Here is a 23,156-nt window from a genome sequence, read left to right on the forward strand (position 1 = left end):
AATCCCAGCACTTTGGGATACCAAAGCAGGCGGATCACTTGAGGCCAGGAGTTTGAGACCAGCCTGGCCAACATGGTGAAACCCTGTCTCTACTAAAAATACAAAAAATTAGCCAGATGTGGTGGCGTGCACCTGTAATCCCAGCTCCTTGGGAGGCTGAGGCAGGAGAATTGCTTAACCGGGGAGGTGGAGGTTGCCGTGAGACGAGATCACACCACTGCACTCCAGCCTGGGCAACAAAAGCAAAACTCCGTCTCAAAAAAAAAAAAAAAAAGATTGTTACTATGCTAAAGAATATATCATCAAGATGAACCTTAAATTTTTATTGGATTTGGTCTAATATTTTCAAACAAAATGGCAGCTCATTTTTTAAAATTCAAAGGAAAATATCTTTCATAACTTGAATAAATCTCAAACCAATTTGGAAAATGGATAAGGATTACAGTGACATATGATTTCCCCGAGTAAGGTTTCAGTTCACAGACCAGCAATTAATGAATGATATTAATAATGCATTAGGACTGACAATAGAAATCATTTTATACCTCACATTGTAAAACTGAGTCAAAGGTAAATAAGTTATGTAATGTAGGAAATATCTGGGAATTAGTAATAAGACACTGATAATTCGGGGAGAGTTAAAGGTGTACCATAAAACAGTGTTTCTCAAAGTAGGGTTCCCATATCACTGCATTGGAATCACTCAAATACTGTAAAATGCAGATCATGTGTGCCACCACAGGGATTCTGCATCAACATCTGCCTTTTAAAATAAACCTCCCAGATGCTTCTTCTCACTATAATAAAGCACTTTGAAGAACTACTATTTATTTCGTTCCAGTAGCTGAAAGTATACTTTTTGGTTATTTAATAGAAAGCACTACTGTGAGTTGAATTGCGTCCCCCAAAAAGATATGTCGAAGTCCTAACTTCCACTACCTGCGAATGAGACCTTAATTGAGAATAGGGTCTTTGCAGATGTAACCAATAGGTCGCATAGGAATAGGATGAGCCTTGAATCCAATGACTGGCTTCCTAATAAGAAGGGAATTTGGACACGGAGACCCAGAGGAGGCACATACAGAGGAAGAACACCGTGTAAAGACAGAGGCAGAGATGGCAGTGATGCAGCCGTCGGTCAAAGGATGCCCAGGAGCCACCAGATGTTAGGAGAGAGCAGTGCACAGATCCTCCCTCTGAACCTCCAGAAAGAACCAACCTGGTCAATACCTTCAGACTCCGGGCATCCAGAAGTGTGAGAGAATACATTTCTGTTGTTTTAAGTCACCCCGTTGTGGGACTTTCCTGGCAGCCCCGGGAAACTACACGTGCGCAAAGCTAAGAACTGGAATCCCACGGGGAAATTCTTTCTCCATCCGTCACTCCCTGGTGCACTTTCTTCTCTGGCCCTCAGTGTTGGGAACTTTATCAGGAGGTTGCCTCCTGCACCTCGGGGTCCCTTGTGCTTCTCCCTCCTGTCTCTCTCGTAAGCCCATCCTCAGTCCTAGACTGTCTCGCCAGCTCCCCGTTCAATACTTCAAAGAGCAGCTGTCCAGGGTTGCAGCTGATTTTGCCTGACACTCTCCCAAAAGAGATTTGAGGGATTTCCTGATTCACTGGATGGCCAATGTCACCCTGAAGTATGAGGTTTTTCACAAATTAAACTGGAAAACATATCTGAAAATCTCATGCCCTGCCAGAACTGATTAAAAGTGAGAAAGGCAGAGAATAAAGTAACACAGAAGTGATCCTTGTCATTTTTGCCAGATTACATTTCCCCCATGTAGCAACGAGGTGTCTATCACTCCGGGATCATCCACTTCGAGGGCAGGCTGAGTGAAGGTCATTTTGGTTTTTATTGATTCTATGGCTCTGGCATTACTCATAAGGATTTACGGTATTTAACCCACCAGGAGAAGCCCTGAACTATAAATGACTCTCCTTTTGCCAGGAGAGCCTGCTGCATCATAAGTGACACCGGCTACATGGATTCCTTCACAGCCATCTCTAATGAAGCCCGCAGCCTTTGCCTCCGCACAAAAGCACACGGCCTCTCATTTCATGGGGCTGATCCCTCCTTTGGCTCTGAATCAGCACGAGGTTGTTTAGCTTACTAAGTAGGGTAATCCAGATACAGGGACAGAAAAAGAACTGAGTGCATAAGACTCATGCTGTTCCTTTCACGTCAGCATCCTCCAGGACCAAAACTGGGAATAAGAAAATGAAAGTCGAAGAGCATGAAATAGGGAAAATAGAAAATTAAGGCTAGGATTATTAAGGCTTATGAAGTGGTCTCGCATGTGTTACAAGGGGCTCAGGACACAACAGAGGCACAGGAAATATATTTGTTGAAGAATAAGGGAATGAATCAACTTTGAGAGCTTGTTTAAAACTTGTTATTGTTGTTAACTTTTTTTTTGAGGCAGGATCTTGCTCTGTGGCCCAGCCTGGAGTTCAGTGGTGCAATCACAGCTCACTGCAGCCTCAACTTCCCCAGGCTCAGGTGATCCTCCCACCTCAGCCTCCTGAGTACCTGGGACTACAGACGTGTGTCATCAGGCCCAGCTAATTTTTGTATTTTTTGTAGAGACCAGGTCTCACTATGTTGCCCAGGCTGGTGTCGAACTCCTGGGCTCAAGTGAGCCTCCCGCCTCAGCCTCCCAAAGTTTTGGGATTACAGGTGTGAGTCACTGTGCCTGGCCCATCATTATTATTTTAACTAAAAACTTTTCCTCCTCAGAAAAGAATTAAGGATGTTTTAAACACAGGGCTAATGTTTATTGACGGTGTTCTCACAACCAATAATTTGTGAACCCAGGACTAAAATGGGCTCAGAGGCAAAAAGAAAAAAATCAACAATATTGATCTTATCTTTATGGAAAATTTTGATATTTTATTTATCACATAAGCAAATGCCTCCCATGCCTCCTAGGCCCTGCCCTGTGTGAACCTTTAGAAATGTAAAGAATGTTTTGTTAAGGGGAGAATGTGAACATTCAGGTTTGAATTAACAATGAATTAGGAAGGAAAAGCCCCTTGGAACCAAGGAAGGAGTCTTCCACATGAGCTTGAAATGAAACAACAATCTCCACGAAGCAGTCTTAGTCTCACAGGAGGGATGATTTTCAATTCACAGACTTTTCTTTCCCCAGAATCTGGAAATTTGAGTTTGCCGCACTCATAAATGCTTTTTTGCACATATGTGCATGCAAAAGCATCCTGAAGCTTCATGACTGATAATTTTACTCTTCGTGACTGGTCATTGCCCCGAAATGAGTCAAGGACATGTCTGCAGAGAATATCAGAGCAACAGACCGAATCCCTTCCCAGGAGTATCTCCAGCCCCCGCTAACACCGAGCATTTATTGTTTGCACACTATTTTTAGTATTTGGACACTGACACTATCTGCAACTATTTAACCCTTTCTTTGTCGATATGCTTTGTCACTAATAGGCAACTCTGTCTCTATAAGGATAAAAATTACACTTGAAAAGATTCTACTAGTGGAAGCCCATGGTACTTATTCAATATATTCTGGATTAATCCATGAATTAACTGTAAATTCCTCTGCTTTGGCTTTTCTCTTTGTTGAATTAAAGTTGTTCCTGTTTTATCCTAAGCTCTCAGAACATTCCAAGAAATTTCCTTTTTTGGAAAAATATGGGCTCCTAGCAGTCAAGTGGGACTGGGATATGAAAATAAAATATTCTTAAATTACCACTACTATTATTACATTTATAAAACAAGTCTATTAACTGGTCTATATTTATAGAATCTCAAACGTTTGAAGCAGATAATAAAATTCACCCTGTTTCTCAATTTAAAATCTGCTAGCAAAAAGCACTTAGTCGAATTATTTCAAATTTGTCAGACTATAATGTCTCAGAAGACACCTGCAGGTCAATATTTTTCTGTCTTTCTTAACCTGACACCAAGTTTTATATATATATCTTGCCCTGTAATAGTATCTAATACAGGGCTGTGCTCCCTACTTTAAGAAAACTGAGATCCAAAAATCTGATTTTGGGGGGGAAAAGAAAAAGTCATACTTACTTTGCAAAAGAATTTAAATAGCAAGCTCCCTCTGAGTACTTAAAATATGATTCAATTTACCAAATCGTTACTAGTGCATGGCAGAGAATGTCCTGTTCATCTACTTTTATTTAGGGCTCCTCAGATCTAAGAACATGAACATGAAAGAACATGCCCATTGCAGAGTTACGATCCTTCTCTAAAAGGGGCATAGTGCCATCTACATGCTTAATGAAAAACACGTGGGTCTAAGTTTGCTAGAGGCTCAGGCAGACCCAGCTCTGGGAATCAAGAGGTACAGTGTAGGAAAGCTGTTCAGCTCTCTTGAGAACATCCACCTGTCAGGGCTGGCTCCTGGACATATGCGACAGGTTGTTGTTATTGTTGGTATCATTATTATTTTTGCTAAAGAGCACTGTAGCTTCCTAGGATTGCTACAACAAAGTACCACAAACGGAGTGGCTTAATACAAGAGAAATGTATTGTCTCAGTTCTGAAGCCTAGACGTCTGAAATTAAGGTAGCAGCAGAAGCATGCGCCCCCTGAAGGATCTAGGGGAGAGTCTATTTCAGGCCTTCTCTAAGCTTCTAGTGAAACTTCTAGAACTAGAAGCTTCTCTAAGCTTCTAGTGGATTTCCCAACAACCCTGGAAAATCCTTGGCTTGCAGCTGTAGCACTTGAGCCTCTGCCTTCCTCATCACATGGCATTTCCCTGCATGTCTGTGTCTGTGGTCTTGTCTTATAAGGACACCAGTCATATTGGGTTAAGATCCCACTTTATTCTGGTATGAGCCCATCTTAACTAATTACCTCTGCAAAGACGTTATTTCTCACCTTCCATACTGAGGTTCCTGGGATTAAGACTTCCAGGTAATGTTTTAGGAAACATAATTCAACCCATAACAGGCATTTATGAATTTGCAGACTGTTGAGGATGGGGGGAGTGTGAGTTCTTAATCTCATTACATGTTGAATGCTGCGCTATGTAAGATTCCTCTGATAGGAACCAGCATCTTGCTTCATGATGTTCCACTCATGTGGATGGATGTTCTGAAGTTTCACTTCTAACAAGAATCACTGGCCGGGCACGGTGGCTCACGCCTCTAATCCCACCACATTGGGAGGCCCAGGTGGGTGAATCACAAGGTCAGGAGTTTGAGACCAGCCTGGCCAACATGATAAAACCCGTCTCTACTAAAAATACAAAAAAAATAGCTGGGCGTAGTGGCGGGCACCTGTAATCCCAGGTATGCGGAAGGCTGAGGCAGGGAATTGCTTGAACCTGGGAGGCGGAGGTTGCAGTGAGCCGAGATCATGCTACTGCACTCCGGCCCGGGCAACAGAGCAAGACTCCTCTCAAAAAAAAAAAAAAAAAAATTCACTGCAATACCTATGTCACCCTTTGGCGTGGGAGGTAGGACACCATGGAGACAGGGGGAGGTCTTGATGGGAGAGTGAAGGAGGGATGAGACTAAGCATGAAAACAAAAATGAAGAGAGCTTACCTGGCAAGTAAGAAGTAAAGAGAGTGACACTTCCAGAGATGACTGTAAGCTTTGTCTCTCACTGCTCAACATCCTACACTTTCATCTAGTTCATTATTTTCCACAGCAGCCTTTCCACCCATAGCATAATACTAACAGGGGTGAACAGAAAGAAGCATCATGAGTATAATTTTCCTTTTTTCTTCTTCAATACCTAGTTTGTTTACATGTCATTTTGTTCGTTGGAGGTGAGCTCAAGGAACTGGGGGTGATGTTATATTTGAGCATTTCAGATGCACGATTCGAGAGTTCCTGAACACTGCTATCTGAACTGTAGTGTTGATCATGGTCTCTTGTTCTTCCCATATCCAGGATGGTTCTTCTGAACCACCCAGATCATGTTCTTCTCATACCCAAAATGGTCTTTTGGGAGTCCTGCTGATTTTTGATTGGAAATAAATTAAGTGACAAAGTCCAAAACCTCTGCAACTTCTTGTAGGAAAGATGATCAAAATGAAACAACTGTCCTGAAAGCTCCCCTAGTTTTCAAATATAACTTTTCAGGACTATGTGCTTTGATGGAGTATGATATACTTGACAGACAGATTTTTGGTCAGCATAATTTCCTTTCAGAAGTTACCCAGCCAAATATCATGACTAATAATTTCATACTAAAACAGAAATTGAATTTTTCTTTGAGATGAAAATGAATCCACTAGTATTTTTTAAATCACCTATAGACAGAAATTGATTTGACATAATGTAATATGATTTTTTAAAATAATTTAGGAATATGAATGAGGCCATTGGAAGTAAGGTCTTTCCTTTTGTTTTCCTTACTCACTATGATTTATTCAAAAGTGATGAAAAGGTACCTTGTTATCAAACATAAATGTAGAGATTTGGATGAGGACTTCTTTTAAATAAAGCTACACAAAAAACTGCAGTGGAAATATACTCCACATTTAATCAAGCTACTTCCTTGCATAACAACCATGTTTGGGATAGTTTGGGTGAAACCTGAAGAGGCCCGTTAAATGGTTCAGTTGTTCACCAAAGCGGGTGGGTACCCGATGTGCGAGAGGCAGATGTTACGAAAAGCATGCGGACAGCATCTATCTCCCGTCACTGCCCAGGTTGATCAGGTTCTATGCAGCCGTTCATCTGATTCCAGTCATTGCCAAGTGCCATGAAGGACATTACTGCATCATAAAATATAGCCTGGAGTTAGACATCGTCCTAATTTCTAACTTCCCCTGCCCGACTGGTTGGTTGAATGGGTTTCTTTTAGCCTATAAGGGCCTTAGGATTCTCCTACACTTCTACCAAAATGAGCTTTCTAAAAGAGTATATGGTACAATATCCTCTTATGGAACATATACTCTTATGGAGTAATGTCACAGTATATGGCATTGACCTTTTGCCATTCACCTGTCCCCACTACCTTCCCCTGCATAACATACTTTGTGACACAAGTATTTCACTACAACTAATGTGATCTTCTAGACCAGCACTTCTCCAAAGTCAGAGTTTTTGCAAATCACCTGAAGATCTTGTTCAAATGTAGGTGCTAGTTCAGGAGGCCTGAGGTGAGGACCGAGATTTTGCCTTTCTGACAAACTCCCAGATAAGGCCAATGCTGCTAGTTTCCTCGAGTGGGAAGGATCTAGGAAACTCCCCTATGTATTCCTGTTCCTATATCTTTGTTCACATTCTTCCTTCAACCTGGAATTTCTTCCCTTTCTTCCTAGATTTTCATATTCATCCTTAGAAACCCTGCCTTAGTAGCTACTCCTTGAAGTGGTCTAGGATGGGGCTTTCTGTATCACAAATGCTTCCTCCTCTGAACTCCTATAGCACACAGTGGCTGGACCACCCTCTGACACTGCTAATTTTATCTTTAGCTACTTTCTCATGCATACATCTTGAATCCCTGATTAAATGTTTAGCCCCTTGAGGACAATCTCATCATGTTCACTCCTGGCCTTTCCCTTAAATCTCAGATTTGCAATTCCAACCACCTGCTGCCTTATTAGAATCCAAATTCAACAGAGCAAAAACGAAACACCCTATCTTCCTCCTCAGAAAACTTGTTCAGTCTCAGGTACTCCCTTCTCAGAGAGTTGCATTTATTTATTTTACAAATACCTGTTTGTTTTAACAAATACATGTGCCTACGATGGACCAGGCACATAGTGATGAATGGAGCAGACGTGTTTTCATGATGCTTGTCTGAAACCTGTGGAACCTCGAAAAGCCCCAGTCACCTACAACTTAAAAGCTGTGCACTTCTGGAGGCTCAACCACCCAAGGTAGAAACTGCAGGGTCATCACCAATTTCACCTTCTAACTTACCTTCCACAACCATCTGTTGTGTTATAAATTTCTATCTGTGCCGCCACAGAAATGCCTCTCCTACATGAGCACTCCCTTCTTTCCCATTTCTCTTGCCACTGTCCTAGAAATGTGGCCATCCTCTCTGGTTCCAGTGATGGCACTTGTCTCCCTACTCCCTACTCATCCCTTTTGGTTTCAGCTTCTTCATCTCCAACTTTTTTTGACACCAACCCTGAAGTTATCATTCTCCAGAAACATCCATCTCATCACAGCACTTATGGACTTACAAAGATAGATGGATCCACATTGCCTGTGGAATTAAACCCCACCTTCATAGCATCAAGTTCAATGTCTCTATAATCTATCCTCCACTGACTTTTCCAGCTTCCCATCCTCACACACTATCCCCTATTTCTACTGTGTCTGAGCAAACATGTGCTAGTCTCCAAATGGCCCTGCTCTTTGAAGGCTGCTTGCCTTTGGTCAACCTAGAAGTCCTCTCCTAATTCTCCAACTGTCAAAATGCAACAGTTCCTTAAGGTTCAACTCAAAAGCCACCTCATCCAAGAAAGCTTCCTCTGCCATAAGTAACCACTTCCATGGCATTTCCTTTGTAACTGTGTCACATGCCCTTTGCCACACAGTCTCGGGTGATTCTTAACTATGTATCTATCTGTCTTTACCTCCACTAGGTGTTAAGACTATGTTTATCTAACCCAGTCGGTGACGAACAAAATTTCCCGAAATCCAAGGGAAGATGTTCCCAACAATTCGAGTTTGTTGACTGGGATGATGGAATTGTACTTCTTTGATTCCTCAATGCTGAGCACAAAATCCTACTCTCGGAAGATGTGCAAAGAAAAAATATATATATATACATATATATATATCTTTTGTGTGTGTGTGTGTGTTTATGTGTGCAGTGTGTGTGTAAACCTTTCATCTTTGGTATCTTTGAAATAGGCTCTCTCCAACTTCATACAGCCTGATGATTGCATCCCATCGTGCCCCTGTCAGTGGAAGTCCTTCCTGTCAGAGCCAATTGCCAAGGCAGAGTTTTTCAATCTTGGTCACATATTAGAATCACTTGGAGAGTTTCGAAAAATCTCAGTGCTCAGTCTGCACCCCAGGTGGACTAACTTCATCAGAGTCTCTGTGGTCCAGACTTAGGCATCAGTATGTTTAAAGCTGCTCAGATGATTCCAATATGCACCCAAGGGTCAAAACTACTGTGCTGGAGAATATTTCAATTTCAGACTTAGTCATAGGAATATACAAAGCAGCAGCCACAGCATATAGGACAATTTTAAGGGACTCATCTGACCCCAGACATCTCTCTTGGTTGCCCATTGTGGTACCCACAATGAGAAAACAGAATTCTCTTTTGAGTATAGTATTATCTCCAGAAGGCATTGTTAAATACATACATAAATACATGAGATATGAATATATATAATATGATACTCATAATATGTGTGTATGTATCATATTATATATGCAAATATGTTCCCTGGAAAGAGTAATCTATCCATCTTCCAGCTGTGTGCAGAATGAAAAGCAAATTCCCTTTTGTGAAAGATGAGGCCCTGGAAAGGAAGGTCTGGGGCACACAGATGGCATTAGGGCATCCTCCCAGTCAGTTCTGAGAAGCTAGAGAGCACAGTGGGAATATCTGATATCTCAGTAGAACATGAGGGGGTGAGAGGGAAAGAGAGGCACAGTAAAGGAAATTGGCATTGGGAGAGGACTTCCACCAACAAACTTGGCTTTCTCAGGTTGGCCAGGGATGACGCTGCCCTGAATCTCTGAAGTTTATAGACTTTGATTTTCAAAAATTAATTACTGGGTAGGGGAAGGGGAAGATTTTAGATGAGTGGGTAAGAAAATACCCAGGACCTGGGGGAATAAAGTCTCAGCTATACTAAACTTCCTGAGCCTTGAAAGCAATACTGAAAAGATTCCTAAATAAAAAGGTTAGCAGCATCCAGTCAAAGCCAAAAGAAACTGAGGAGAAGGAACCTCGTAAAAATAAAAAGTCATGAGGAAAAGTGTATATCGGTGGCAATTTTTCCCCAAGCTTACAAAAAACACCACCTGGGGACAGAGAACCACGGTGATCCCTCTACACTCTCCTGCCTAATGAGAATTTCTGAAAGCAAAGTATGCCTAGAGTGAGTCCCCATGAGGTAGTAATTTATAAAGCTGCCCCTACACCATGCTGATTCTGAAAGAGACTGGTTTTCTAGTGTACCAGAGCCTTTTGTGGAAAAACAAAGCAATAGGAAAGAACTTGAATAACGGAGGCCTCCACAGAGATGAGATGACACATCGGGGTCTGTGATTGCACCTCAGATTCACTCAACCACAATCTTCTCTGAGAAGCCTACTTCCTTATTCTCATAAACTAAGCTGAGCAGTAATCATCCTTTGCCTTGATGGGAAGATCTGCTAATTACCCACAGCTCTGGAGAAATGCAAATCTGTGGCTATGTCATGGATCTGATCTGCCTTCTATGACCTTAACCCCCCACCCTAACTCCTTCTGTCTCGGATTTAAACAAATTAACTAGACATGAAACAGAAAGAGGCTGTTACTTAAGGGAATTGGATCCTCGGAGCATATACTCCTGAATTTCCCTTATGGGTTTGAGTCAGCAGTGATGTCTCAGAGACATTCCAGATGACTTCAAGGAGGCAAGGGCAGACTGGTAATTAAACCACACCAATCAGGAAGGCTTAGAAATAGAGAACAAAGGGCAAGGAGAGGAGAGAGAAGAAGGCAAAAAAAAAAAAAAAAAAAAGAAAAAGAAAAAAAATAAAAGAAAATAGAACGAAGAAGCAGGAAACCAGAGTCCTGGAAATGCTTTTTCACATGTTCTACCCACTCCTCTCTCTGTCTGTGTTAACGAAGCTCCTGGAAAGAGATGTGTGCTCGCCTCTGTATAAAGCAGTGAGGCACAGAAAGAATGGTGTGAGCTGAGGCCAACCAGGTCTTAGGTCTGCGTGAGCCTGGTGGAGCAACTCAAGTCAGTGCAGGAAGAAGGCAGTGTGGGAACAGGGCTGGTGAGAGTGGGACTGGGCTCTCTTCCAGGATCCCAGGCTCACCCCACCTTAACCCCAAATGCTACAACCTCATGGGGCTGCATGTCTTCTCTGTGCCCCTGCTAGTCCACTCTCCTCTCTTCTCCAGCCTGCCCATTGCTGGAGGGCTGAGGATATGAATTACATCCCTGGGCCCCCATGTCTGCTGACTCCAGTTAACCTTGGCCATTGGGAGGCACTGTAGGAGCTCCTAGAGGAGAGTGAGGCCCCAACATTCATTCTCGGGGCTTCCTCACTGTGAGGTTGCTTCAGACTAGCTGAGCACCTCAACGGAAGGTCACAATTCCCCTCTGCTGGCTAGTCCAGAGCTCTTTCCCTCCCCCATACTTCAGTCCTTCAGGCCTTAGGGTGGTAACTTTGCTCCATGTTACTCACCTCAGGTTCTGCCCTATTCCTTATGGCTTTTCTACACTCTGCTGTCACCTGTATATCAAGTACCTTATTGAACTATCCTTAATTATTGCCCAAGTTGACTTGTGCTGTCAGTTTCATTCTAAGACCCAACTGATCTAGCCCACTAACTCAAGATAGACCAGAATTATGTCTTTATTCTTCCATGGTGGGGCAACCTTCAAGGTGGCTTAGCTACTGGGGCATTCACCTGTATGTAAAAATGTCTACAGAGAAGTGGCTACTGGTGGAATCTGCTTAGTATCTGGAGAACTGTATGTCCTTTAGCTAAGGAAAACACAAGTGCTTTTCTCTTGGTCTAAAGTCACTTTACAGCTCATGCAGAGGTGGTCTCTGCAGTGCACCAAGAGATATAACTGACAGTAACGTGTGTCAGGGAGGGATTCCCTTCCTTCCTCAGTGCTAAGGAGAGAAAAAGAAGTAGATACGACTTACAAGGAAGGGAGGGAGACATGAGTTTGCCCCTGTGGGTCACCTTCCATCACAGAGCGCGACTTTCTTCTGCTGAACCACCCAGCAATGGGAACACACTGTGCATGGCATCGAAGTTCAAGACCACCGACAAGCAAAAATGAGTGCGGCTTTGCATTTACTGCCTGGAAACCCATTTCATCATTTAATCCAAAACCTAATTTTTTTAGAATTCAATGTTTAAACAAATCATGAGTGTTTGATGTGACATGAGATTGCTTTATCCTCTCTCCTCCCCAGTTCCTCATGAAAATGAGATGCTGCACCTCATTTGGGGATTTGGGAGAGAAAATAAAACAAAACAATCTGGATCTAGGTCAGCAGAAAGCCTGTTTGTTCAGCGTAAAGAGGCCTCTCCACTAATTAACACTTTCCTGAGAAAAAAGAGTGAAAGTCGTGTGCGAGGAGCATATATATATATATACACACACACACACATTCCTCTTTAAATGGCACCATTTCAGATTCAGTAAAATAGCACTTACCCCTTCAAATTGGAATAGTGATCACACATACTGAAAATTAAAATTCTGGAAAGCTTCAATGCTGAAAATTTCATCCAGTCACCTGACAGAGCTAATTAAATTTCTTGGGCTGTTGATTAGTATTTATTAAATTACGGAACTAAAGCTTTAACTCTGCCATTCTTGCTTCAATAATTAAGAAGTTGTGGAGAGAGAGCAATAACCAAGGTGTCAGCTTGCTGACTCTTCCAAAAAGTGGTACTCAGAACTTTATCCAACTCATGCCACGAATCCAGTGATACTGAAGAAAAAAAAATGCAAATCTAGAGTAGCATAAAATATGCTTTCTTTCCTTTTTAATTGTGCAAACACTGTGGTCATATAATAACATGCACAATGAATTTGCACCCATGGCTACATGTGCTTGATAAAGACAACATCATGGTTCTTTGCAACAATGAACATTTCCTCTTACAGATGCTTAGCTTCGGAGGCATCTTGTACAGAATAACATATTCTGTTCTTTTCCCACATGCTCATCTAGTCAAACTTCTGCTCTCCAAGGAATGAATAAGTTCTGATGGACTCCACATCAGTCTTTATGTAAGATTTTTTCTGAAAATTATGGGGCTCTCTCCATAATCCAGCAGTCAACTGAAAGAATATCTATTGAGTGTCTACCATGTGTTCAACACTCAGCTCACTGTCAAAAAAGATACAAAAAAAAAAACAAGATACCATTCTTTCCCAGGGGCATCAAGATGTTTTATAGAGATAATCTATATCCAAATGAAACAAGAAACAAACCAAATGCATGAGATACTGATAAAATAAAGTGCTTATTTGTGTGATAGGATGATCAAAATAAATTTCACTTTCAGGAGTGCCTTCCAGCTCCAACACTTTCCAATGCTATGTGTAGCACAAAAAATAGCCGAAGAATTCAACTAAAGGTTCTGGAAGGTGTGTTCTCATCATGAGCATGCCCTCAGCACAGTCCCTGCTATTCGGTAAGCTCTAGGCAAATGCTGAATGAATCGATATGCAAATGAGTGCAAAATGAAAAGAATGCAGACAGCAAGATGAATTGGCATTATCTGAGAAGGCTTCAGACCTGAGACTGCTCTTAAACCAAGCTGCAAGGCAGAGCTTACAAATTGTCAGCCATCAGTGTTAATCTATCTATACAGATGTGTTTCATTCAGCCCATGCTGTGATGATGATGGTGGTGGGGATGACGGTGATGATGATCATGATGAAGACAAGGATGGAAGTGGAGAGAGAATTTTAAAACCAGGAGATTCCATGTTCAAATCCATATATTTCTATTGTAAAACAAACTCTACCTCTCCTGGCTCCTGTGTCCATGTGGCATGATGCCAAGGCCAGTGGCTCTTCTTTTTTTTTTTTTGAGACAGAGTCTCACTCTTGTTGCCCAGGCTGGAGTCCAGTGGTATGTTCTCAACTCACTCCAACCTCTGCCTCCCAGATTGAAGCTATTCTCCTGCCTCAGCCCCCCAAGTAGCTGGGATTACAGGCACCCACCACCACACCTGGCTAATTTTTGTATTTTTAGTAGAGACAGGGTTTCACCATTTGGTCAGGCTGGTCTCAAACTCCTGACCTCAAATGATCCTCCCGCGTCGGCCTCCCAAAGTGCTGGGATTACAGGGGTGAGCCACGGCGCCCGGCCGTGGCTCTTCTCTTTCTTCGGCCATCGTCCTCCAGGGTTGCACCATGTTCCACCCTCTCAGTCTTCTTCCCAACCAAGGCCAAGTGTCAGTTACCTTTTATTTTCATGCATGCACTATTGCTTTCTTCTGGAAGAGAAAATAATCCCCATACACATCGTACTGAAAGTGTAAAAATGCAAAAGTAGTCCATGAGGGAGTCATGTTTCAAGGGAAAAGTGTGAGACTATCTCTTGTGAAAATGAATGAGGAAATGAAATGATGAAATTGTATGCTATTAATATCAATCTAAATGTGTCTATGAAAAGAACAGAAATTGCTTCCCTACATTATCAGTTGCTACCTTCTCAGTGAGGCCTTCCATGAGCATCCACCTCCACACATGCTTCCAGTCCCCCCCTCCACTTTAGTTTTCACTTTAGCACATGCCATGTATATTTTTATTGTATAATTCTTTTTTTAACTTAATTTTAAGTTCTGGGATACATGCGCAGGACATGCAGGTTTGTTACATAGGTAAACGTGTGCCATAGTGGTTTGCTGCACCTATGAACCCATCACCTAGGTATTAAACCCCGCATGCATTAGCTATTTATCCTGATGCTCTCCCTCCCCCTGCCCCCACAACAGGCCCCAGTGTGTATTGTTCCCCTCCATGTGTCCATGTATTTTTATTGTTCAGCTCCCACTTATAAGTGAGAAAATGCTGTTTGGTTTTCTGTTCCTGTGTTAGCTCCATCCATGTCCCTGCAAAGGACATGTCCCTGCAGCTCCATCCATGTCCCTGCAAAGGACATGATCTTGTTCCTTTGTCTGGCTGCATAGTATTCCATGCTGTACATGTACCATATTTTCTTTATCCAGTCTATCCTTGATGGGCATTTAGGTTGATTCCATGTCTTTGCTATTGTAAATAGTGCTGTAATGAACATACGCGTGCATGTGTCTTTATAACCGGATGATTTATATTCCTTTGGGTGTATACCCAGTAATGGGATTGCTGAGTCAAATGGCATTTCTGGTTCTAGGTCTTTGAGGAATCACCACACTCTCTTCCACAATGCTATATATTTTACTGGTTTATTTCATTTGTTGTTGGAATCTTGTAATGCAAATGTAGGCTCCATAAAGGAAGGGGTTTTTGCCCTCTTTTGTTCACTACTTCATCCCTGGTACCTAGGAGAGTACCTGAAAAAGAGTAGATGTTTGATGAATGAACAAACAAACTCAGCTCGCTTCTCTAATTTACTTTATCTGCATGATCTGCCTGAAAGGATGAAGCAGCTGTGGATAGGCTAAGAGAAGAGCCATCACTCCTGGTGAAGGAAGTTACTTCTGGCAAGTAACATAAGCAAAGGCTTGAGCTGGCAGGGAGCACGTGGAAAGGGAAATAGGGCTCTGTGAGAAGTAGAGCCTAATTAAAATGAAAAATGTAGCTGGGCATGGTGGCATGCATCTGTAATCCAAGCTACTTGGAAGGTTGAGGCGGGAGGGTTGTTTGAGCCCGGGAGTTCAAAGCTGCAGTGAGCTAGGATTGCACCACTGGACTCTGGCCTGAACAACAGAGTGAGACCCTGTCTCAAAAAAAGAAAAGGTAAAAATGAAATAATGCATTTAAAATGGAAAATGTGTCATGGAGTTGCCAGTTAAGAATCCATGATTGATAGATGTGAACAAGACACCACTCGTCTGTCCCCTGTCATCAATCTGGACCATTGCCCACCCCACCTGGCTTTCCCAGCGCCATACCTGTGTATCCTTCTGGACCCCACCTGGGCTGTTCTAGCACCCTTCAATGATTCTCCAGAAAAAATACTAAACTGCTCACAGTAGACTATAAAACCCTGTAGGATCTCCTGGCCCACTTCTCTGGCCCCAACTCCTGCCTCTCCAACATATGCACTTTGCCTTTCAGTTGCACCAAACTAACTACTTTCCAAACCCTTAGTGGGTTTGGTCCACATGAGCCTTTCAACATGGGCTCCATCTGATTGGGAGCCCCAACACCAGCTCACTCTTCAAGATCAGCTCAGAGAGACAGAGAGACCCCTGTGGGAGCTTCTCCCTAGAGCCCCTACTTGGCAGACCCAGGACCCCTACTCTGTACCTCTGGACCATCTGATGCTCCGCGGGTAATACTTATCCATCAGAAGCTGCATGCATCGCCTGTAAGATACAGCGTGAACACACAATTCTGCGGCACTCTTGGCCAACTGATGGTACCCAGGCCTTGAGAATGCCTCCCTCGCTCCTTGAACCCTCCCTAGAAATTGATTGGTTTTCTCATTAAGTGGTCACAGCCCTAAGGTACCACCACCATGTGTCTATTTTCACTGGTCCTGAGTTAACCTGTTATGCCCTATCCCCTTTACTGTGGTGTAAGTGCCCTTACCTTTTCCCATTTGATCTCAGTTTAATTAACTTTGGGTCACTGGTTTCTGCTCTTGAAAATACATACTCTACACTCAGCTTTCATTCTTCTCAACTCAGTTCTTGTCAATGTTGACATCACGTTGTACTACTGTCTGTTTTTATGTCTATACCTCCACAGAAGAGAAAGCTCCTTGAAAGTAGAACCGATGTCTTTTCATCTTTGTAGCCCCAATGCCTAATGCGGTATCTTGCACAGAGAAAACCCTTAATGAATGTTTGTTGACTGAATGCATGAACACATGCAGCGATACAGCCATTGCCATTGGTCTTTAAGAGAAAGGACCATGGCACTTTGGGAAGCCGAGGAGGGTGAATTACCTGACATCAGGAGTTCGAGACCAGCCTGACCAGTATGGTGAAACCCCATCTCTACTAAAAATACAAAAATTAGCCTGGTGTGGTGGCATGCACCTGTAGTTCCAGCTACTCAGGAGGCTGAGACAGGAGAATCACTTGAACCCGGAAGCAGAGGTTGCAGTGAGCTGAGATAGTGCCACCGCACTCCAGCCTAGGCGACAGAGCAAGACTCCGTCAAAAAAAAAAAAAAAGAAAAAGGAAAAAAAGAAAAAGGACCATGAATTAAGTTATGGCAGCAGTACTACATATTCAAAAAACTAAGTAAAGAAAATAAAGACAGATTTTTTTTAATTACTGCAATCAGATTCATTGGTCATGAGAACCTGACCTATAGGCTTAGAAGAAGTGAAAAGATGGATATAAAAAGCTAGACTAAATCTGAAAATTAAAAGACCTTTCAGAGAAAGAAAACAAAGTTGAAGTCACAGGGTTGAGCTTGCCCTGGAGAGATCACACTGTCTACTCTTTAACCCCATGGGTCTGAGTTTTCAGATTTCCCGTGTATCAGGATGAGTTGGGGATACAAGTTAAGAGTGCGAATCTCCAGACTGCAGGTCTAGTACCTGTGTCTGTACTGAGAGCACATTGTGTGAACACCTTGGCATGGTGACCCCAGGACCACCTATGCCTTAACCATTTTTGATCAGGGAAAAGCTCTTTTCCTTGTAAAGATGACTACAGAGTTTCCATGATTTTCTAGGATACTCAGCATGTTTTTCCTGAAATCCTCTTTTTCATCATGTTTTAGGAAAGCCTGTTCTAATGGCTTTGTTTTCAGAAAAAAACTGTTTTTAAAATGTCAAGCGAAAGAGATTTCTAAGTGTCTCTTCTTGTTGTGGAGTCACCTTTTTGGACCAAAAAAAGTAAAATCAAGTTCTGGACAAAAGTTCTAGCTCCTCTGAAGTTTGTCCTTTCCTCTCGACCATATAAATAATGGAGAAGGGGAACTTACTGGTATATCTCATTTAGGCACTTGGATAAATAACACCCCACTTTCAGTTATCTTTGGAAAAAACATTGAGAAACCCTCTTACCTTTTTGAGGACAAAAGAAGCAAATTGAAAATGCACTAGGCCTTTTTTAAATATTTGTGATTTGGCTTGAAAAAGAAGGTCGGTTTTCCACATAGGAAATAATTTGAAGAAATAAAATGAAAACTATTTTCAAAAGACTGTTTAACTTTCCTTTAATTATACTAAAAAGAATAATAAAGAGCATGAAGCATATTGGAATTTGTCATTTATGGATCACCATGGCATAGTATAAAAATTCAGAAGTAGCTTCTAATGAGAAAAATACAAAAAATAATATCAGTGAATTTTATATTTATTAATCTAGGGGAAAAATTGAGAGGTTAGGGTTCCATTCTGTTCAGAAAGACTCACAGTGTAACCTCACATGCCAGCATGATCATTATACTATGACTTTCCAGTGCATCAGGAATAAAACATAAGGCTCGTCAAAGAAGTAATAGAAAAGCAACCTAATATTGAGGCTAACTTGACACAAATCATTCTAATTATTTACATTCAGAGCTCCTTTTGCTGAGACCTTTTTTTTTTTGAAGAGATAAAGGCTATTTTCTAAATACCACTGCTTAGCTACCAAATCTATTAACAGAAAGCCCCTGGCGTTTGATCTTTCAGATTCCAGTGTGCTTCCAGTACTGTTTTTATACTTATCTGCAATAAAAAGGTGATTCCTCCAAGCGCTTTGGATTTGGTTGAATCAGATTTACTGTCTGGCTTCTCAACCTTATTCCCAAGTACAATGTAATAGGAAAATGCAAAGCCCTTTCAAGTCCCCATGGGTTCCTATGGCAGGGTGGTGAAAATTTTGTTTTCTTTACTACTTTTCATTTCATAAGAGAAATAGTCTCAAGGAGAGGATTTCTAATGCAATGTTGTTAGATACAGACCATTAAATATGTAGGGCTGGCTTTCCAGCCTACATATGCAGCCCTATGGGAAAACTCTCCCTTTGTCATGGAAACCCAGGGGAGGAGTTGGTCTGTGCTGTTTTATGAATAAAAAATCCAGAAGGGGAACTCTTTTTCCATTTTAAAGCCAGGAGGAGTTTTTAGGACTTTCATTTTTTCACACTTGCCTGTTAGAGAAATGGCATAAGTTTTATGGTATTGTGCATCTAGAATGTTCTTAGCACCACCTGAAAATTATTATTTCCGCTGATAGTTAAGACAGATGATAGATGACTGATCGATGATAGATGATTGATTGATTGATTGATTCAGGGACAGTATAATCCACTGTTATACATAACCAGAAGCATAATTGGGCAAATAGCATTTGATTCATCTGTCTTTGGACCTCCTAAAGGAAGATGGGCTGATTTAAAATGTTATCTTGAAAAATGTATAGTCTTGTATTTGTTTGGAGGGTTCTAGACATAGGCATTGTTAGAAATGGTTTAGAAAATTAGGAAAGGCTACTCAAACCATAGTGGCGTTAAAAAAAAGGCCAAGAATTAGGAAATTGTTTGTAGGGCTGCTAGAATCACAATGATGTTGGAGAAGGTCTAGAACATTAGCATGGACTGATAATTCAGGGAAGAGTACCAAGATTTCCAGAGTGCTATCCTCCTCCCCCCAAATATATTTTCCATCTTTTTTGAAATGAGTGAGACCTACCAATAGGCACAGGGCTTTTCAAATGCATTCACACTCTCCAGTTCACCAGTTCTGTTGTAATGGTTAATTTGAGACTGCAGGCTCTGGGCCCCCACTGCCAAGGCTCAAAACCAGGCCCTACTACTTGTGCTATGTGATCAAGGCCAAGAGACTTCACTCTTCACTGCCTCAGTGTGTTCACTGTTCTTGTGAGGTTGTGGTGATTAAACAATAAGATAGGAGTGATGGGTGTAGCATGGGGCCAGCCACTTAGTGAGGATTTGATGACATCTCACTAAACAAAAAGGTCACCATAGAAATGCAATTCTCAGTTATTGCATCTGTAAAGTTGAGACATCAACAGCTACCTTTCAACATTTTTTACAAATTGGAGGCAATTATGGATTTGGTTGCTGAGTGTCCAATAGGTATGGTAGCCATCACTGTTGTTATCATAATTTTTATCAACACCTGTCTCACTCCTTGTTGTACAGGTCAAGAAAACCCAACTAGATCATAGCTTCTTGAAGACAAGCAGGCTTCATGGGATACTACCTGCATAGTTGCACAAGGCCCAGTGTTTAGAAGTACCTGACACTCTGTAGTTGCCACGTTCAAATTCCTAATAATATTTAAACAGGGAACCCTGCATTTTCATTTTGCACTGGGCTCTACAAATTACGTAGCTGATCCTGAGGACAGGGACTGTTTCTAACTTGGTTTTATAAACTTTGTCTTCCAGGCACAGTTCTTTATACACAGTAGGTTTGCATTAGATGTTTCTTGAAGTGAATGGGCATTGCCACTAATTAATAATAACTGAACATGAAAATCATTTATTCAATGCCCACTTTCGGAAATCCAGGCTCCTCCTGAGCTTATAAAGTCCTTTTGTGGACAGGCCTTTGGCCAATAACAAGAATCAATGGTGACAATAATCGTTCCAAGTAAATCTTGTAAATGTAGAAATGGATTGAGTATTTGCAGGATGTACTTCATAAATTCAGACAGGAAGGTTGGTTAAATGTTTAAAATTGTTGTTTGGAACAGATTAAAGGGTGCAAAAAATGTTAGCAAAATCACTTGGGAAAGGTGGTTTCTAATGTTTTTAATATTGGCACAGTTAGTAACTGACTTTAAATCCTTCCTTGATCAACATAAAAAGACATTTCAAGGGAAAGGAAATAAATGGTAATGCCATTAACCATCACACATTGTAGAAGTACCTATTATAAAAAATCCTTTCTAAGTTTTACTGTTCTGGATCTAAGCTTATTTCATAGAAATACAGAATTAAATACTACACTTGATTTCATTTTGGAATATTAATGAGACTGAAATAAGCTTTAAATTTTTCTTTGACTCATTAAGCTGGAAAGTCAAAGTGCTAAAAATACATACTTTTGCTTCAACATAGGCTGAAATGGATACAAAGAATTTTGTGTCAGGGGGAGTTTAACTTAGAGTAAAAGGACCTATCGGGGGAAATTTGAAGCAATTGTAATGTAGAATTTGGCTATTATACATAAACATATGTCTATATTCATCATGTAGCTTTACTTGTCAGAAAATATCTATCTTAAAACTTGTACAGTCAGAAAAAGTATCAATAACATAAAATTTCACAGCCCCCTTTTAGAACTATGGCCTTAACATTTTGTAGGGAAATAAAGCTTTGGTTAACCTTGGCTCTGGTAGACCTCATTAAAATAACAGCCTGTCAGTTTCAAGTTTAAAATAACAGGGTTGTCAGTTTTATATGCAGTGGAACAATCTACAGTTTTATTCTCGGGGATAAGACTGGTAAGGGGGTGAAAGGTGGACAAAGACTGGACAACACTGCCATCTGGTGGTTATAATGAAGGTGGCCTCTAAATGCCTGGAGACGAGGCTGGACCATCTTGAAGGAAAAGAGGGTGACGTCAGCCTGCTTTAAGCAAGTCACTGTTCGACTTTTTGATAGCCTTTTGCCTTTAAAATGTAGGTACATGCCCAGAGCCTAGATGCAATTTATAATCTCAAAGTTACAGTAAATCAATAATAAACTCTGCTCTTTGGTAATCTTTAATCCCTGCATATCCATGATTTGAGAAAATTAATTTTCAAGAGAATGAAATCTTGTGAAAAGAATTAGATTCAACAAAAACTTTATTTTACTTTAAGTTCTGGGATACATGTGCAGAACGTGCAGGTTTGGTACATAGGTATACATGTGCCATGGTGGTTTGCTGCACCTATCAGCCCATCATCTACGTTTTAAGCCCCACATGCATTACGTATTTGTCCTAATGCTCTCCTTCCCCTTGCCCCCACCCCCCGACAGGCCCTGGTGTGTGATGTTGCCCTTCCCGTGTCCATGTGTTCTCGTTAGATTCAACGAAAACTTTAAAAAATATTTTCCTTTATTAAAACCACCACATATCTGGTGTTTTATTGCATGAGTATCTTGTGAGAAATTCATCAAACTGATGATATATGATTTGTTTACTTTTCTGGATGATTATTAAACTTCAGTAAAAATAAATAAATGCAAACCAAAAAAAGCTGTTCATAGGCAAAATTTTGATGGCTGTCACAAAGCTGGATGGAACATGTTCCCATTTATATAAACTGAAGCAATTCTAGACATAGGCTGGATTCAAACAGACTTCTACTGTAACCTAACTTCGATTCAGTTCTTTCCTGCTGTACTTCGGACAGTTGACTGGGGGTATGGAGCAGGGGCAGGAGAGTGAGGTCAGAGAAAAATGAGTTCTGTTGATTTGAAATGCAACCTACTCAAAAAGTTCAGAAGAAGATACTGAACTCTCTAATGTTGAGCTAATAGCCCACCTTTAGTTCATTCAGACAACAACCCCTAGCCTAGGAACCATGCTCAACCCCTCTCAGTAGCAACTGGCCCCCTCTCCTGACGTGCTTAGGAAGGACCTTAGACCATGCCCTCAATATGGTAGCCACCAGCCATACATGGCTATTGACCACTAGGGATGTGCTGTAGACAGAACTGAGATGAGCTCTAAGCGAAAAACCCACAACAGATTTTGAAACCTGTGCCATCTAACATGGCAGCCATTAACAATGTGTGACTATTGAGCAATGGAGATGTCCGGTGGAATGAACTGAGATGGACTGTAAGTATAAAATACAAACTAGGCTTTAAAGACTTAGTACCAGAAAATAATAAAGAATATACAATATCTCATTTAAATGTTTCGTGTTCACTATGTATTGAAACAATGTTTTGAATAAGTTGTGTTAAACAAAACATAACATTGAAGTTAGCTTCAACTTACTTTTTTTAAAATGTGGCAACTAGAAAATTTAAAATTACACCTGTAGCTCCTTTGTGGCTTACATGATGTTTCTACTGGATATTGCTGCCTTCAGGCTCTCATTGCTTCTTCGAACAGGATGGCCATTTTGCTATTTTACAAGTTGTTTTCTCTCTCACTGGAGCTAAAGTGGGCTGCCTATGACACTTCTGCAGCTTGTAGGAGACTAAGAGGACCCATTTAGGTTATTGGATGCTTATGATGCAAAGGTGAAAGTCAAGCAAAATTATGTCACCTGGGTCTAATCATAAGCAGAGTAAATCGTACTCCCTGGTTGGTGCCCCATGGGGTAAATTGGATCTTTAAGGTAACCAGATGGCTCTCAGGAACAGGTAATTTACCTCACCGGGGTAAGAACTTGATTTGCAAGAAAGAATACAGTTTAGTCCCCCAATGCCATATGTCCCCATGGTGAC

General features: G+C 41.3%; 1 protein-coding gene across 4 annotated transcripts in view, besides 1 other annotated feature; it reads left to right on the forward strand.

The window, feature by feature from the left end:
* The window catches only part of GPC6 (glypican 6), a 1,191,492-nt gene that overhangs the window by 1,124,800 nt on the left and 43,536 nt on the right, over positions 1–23,156 (forward strand). The window lies entirely within an intron of this gene.
* Positions 2,688–3,286: an enhancer, noted in NCBI's record as "NANOG hESC enhancer chr13:94996270-94996868 (GRCh37/hg19 assembly coordinates)". NCBI's record gives its function as "activates a minimal SCP1, AML or CMV promoter by ChIP-STARR-seq in naive H9 embryonic stem cells {active_cell/tissue: H9 hESC(naive)}" and the evidence as "EXISTENCE:reporter gene assay evidence [ECO:0000049][PMID:30033119]".

This window comes from Homo sapiens, chromosome 13 (assembly GCF_000001405.40).
Source record: "Homo sapiens chromosome 13, GRCh38.p14 Primary Assembly".
Classification (NCBI taxonomy): domain Eukaryota; kingdom Metazoa; phylum Chordata; class Mammalia; order Primates; family Hominidae; genus Homo; species Homo sapiens.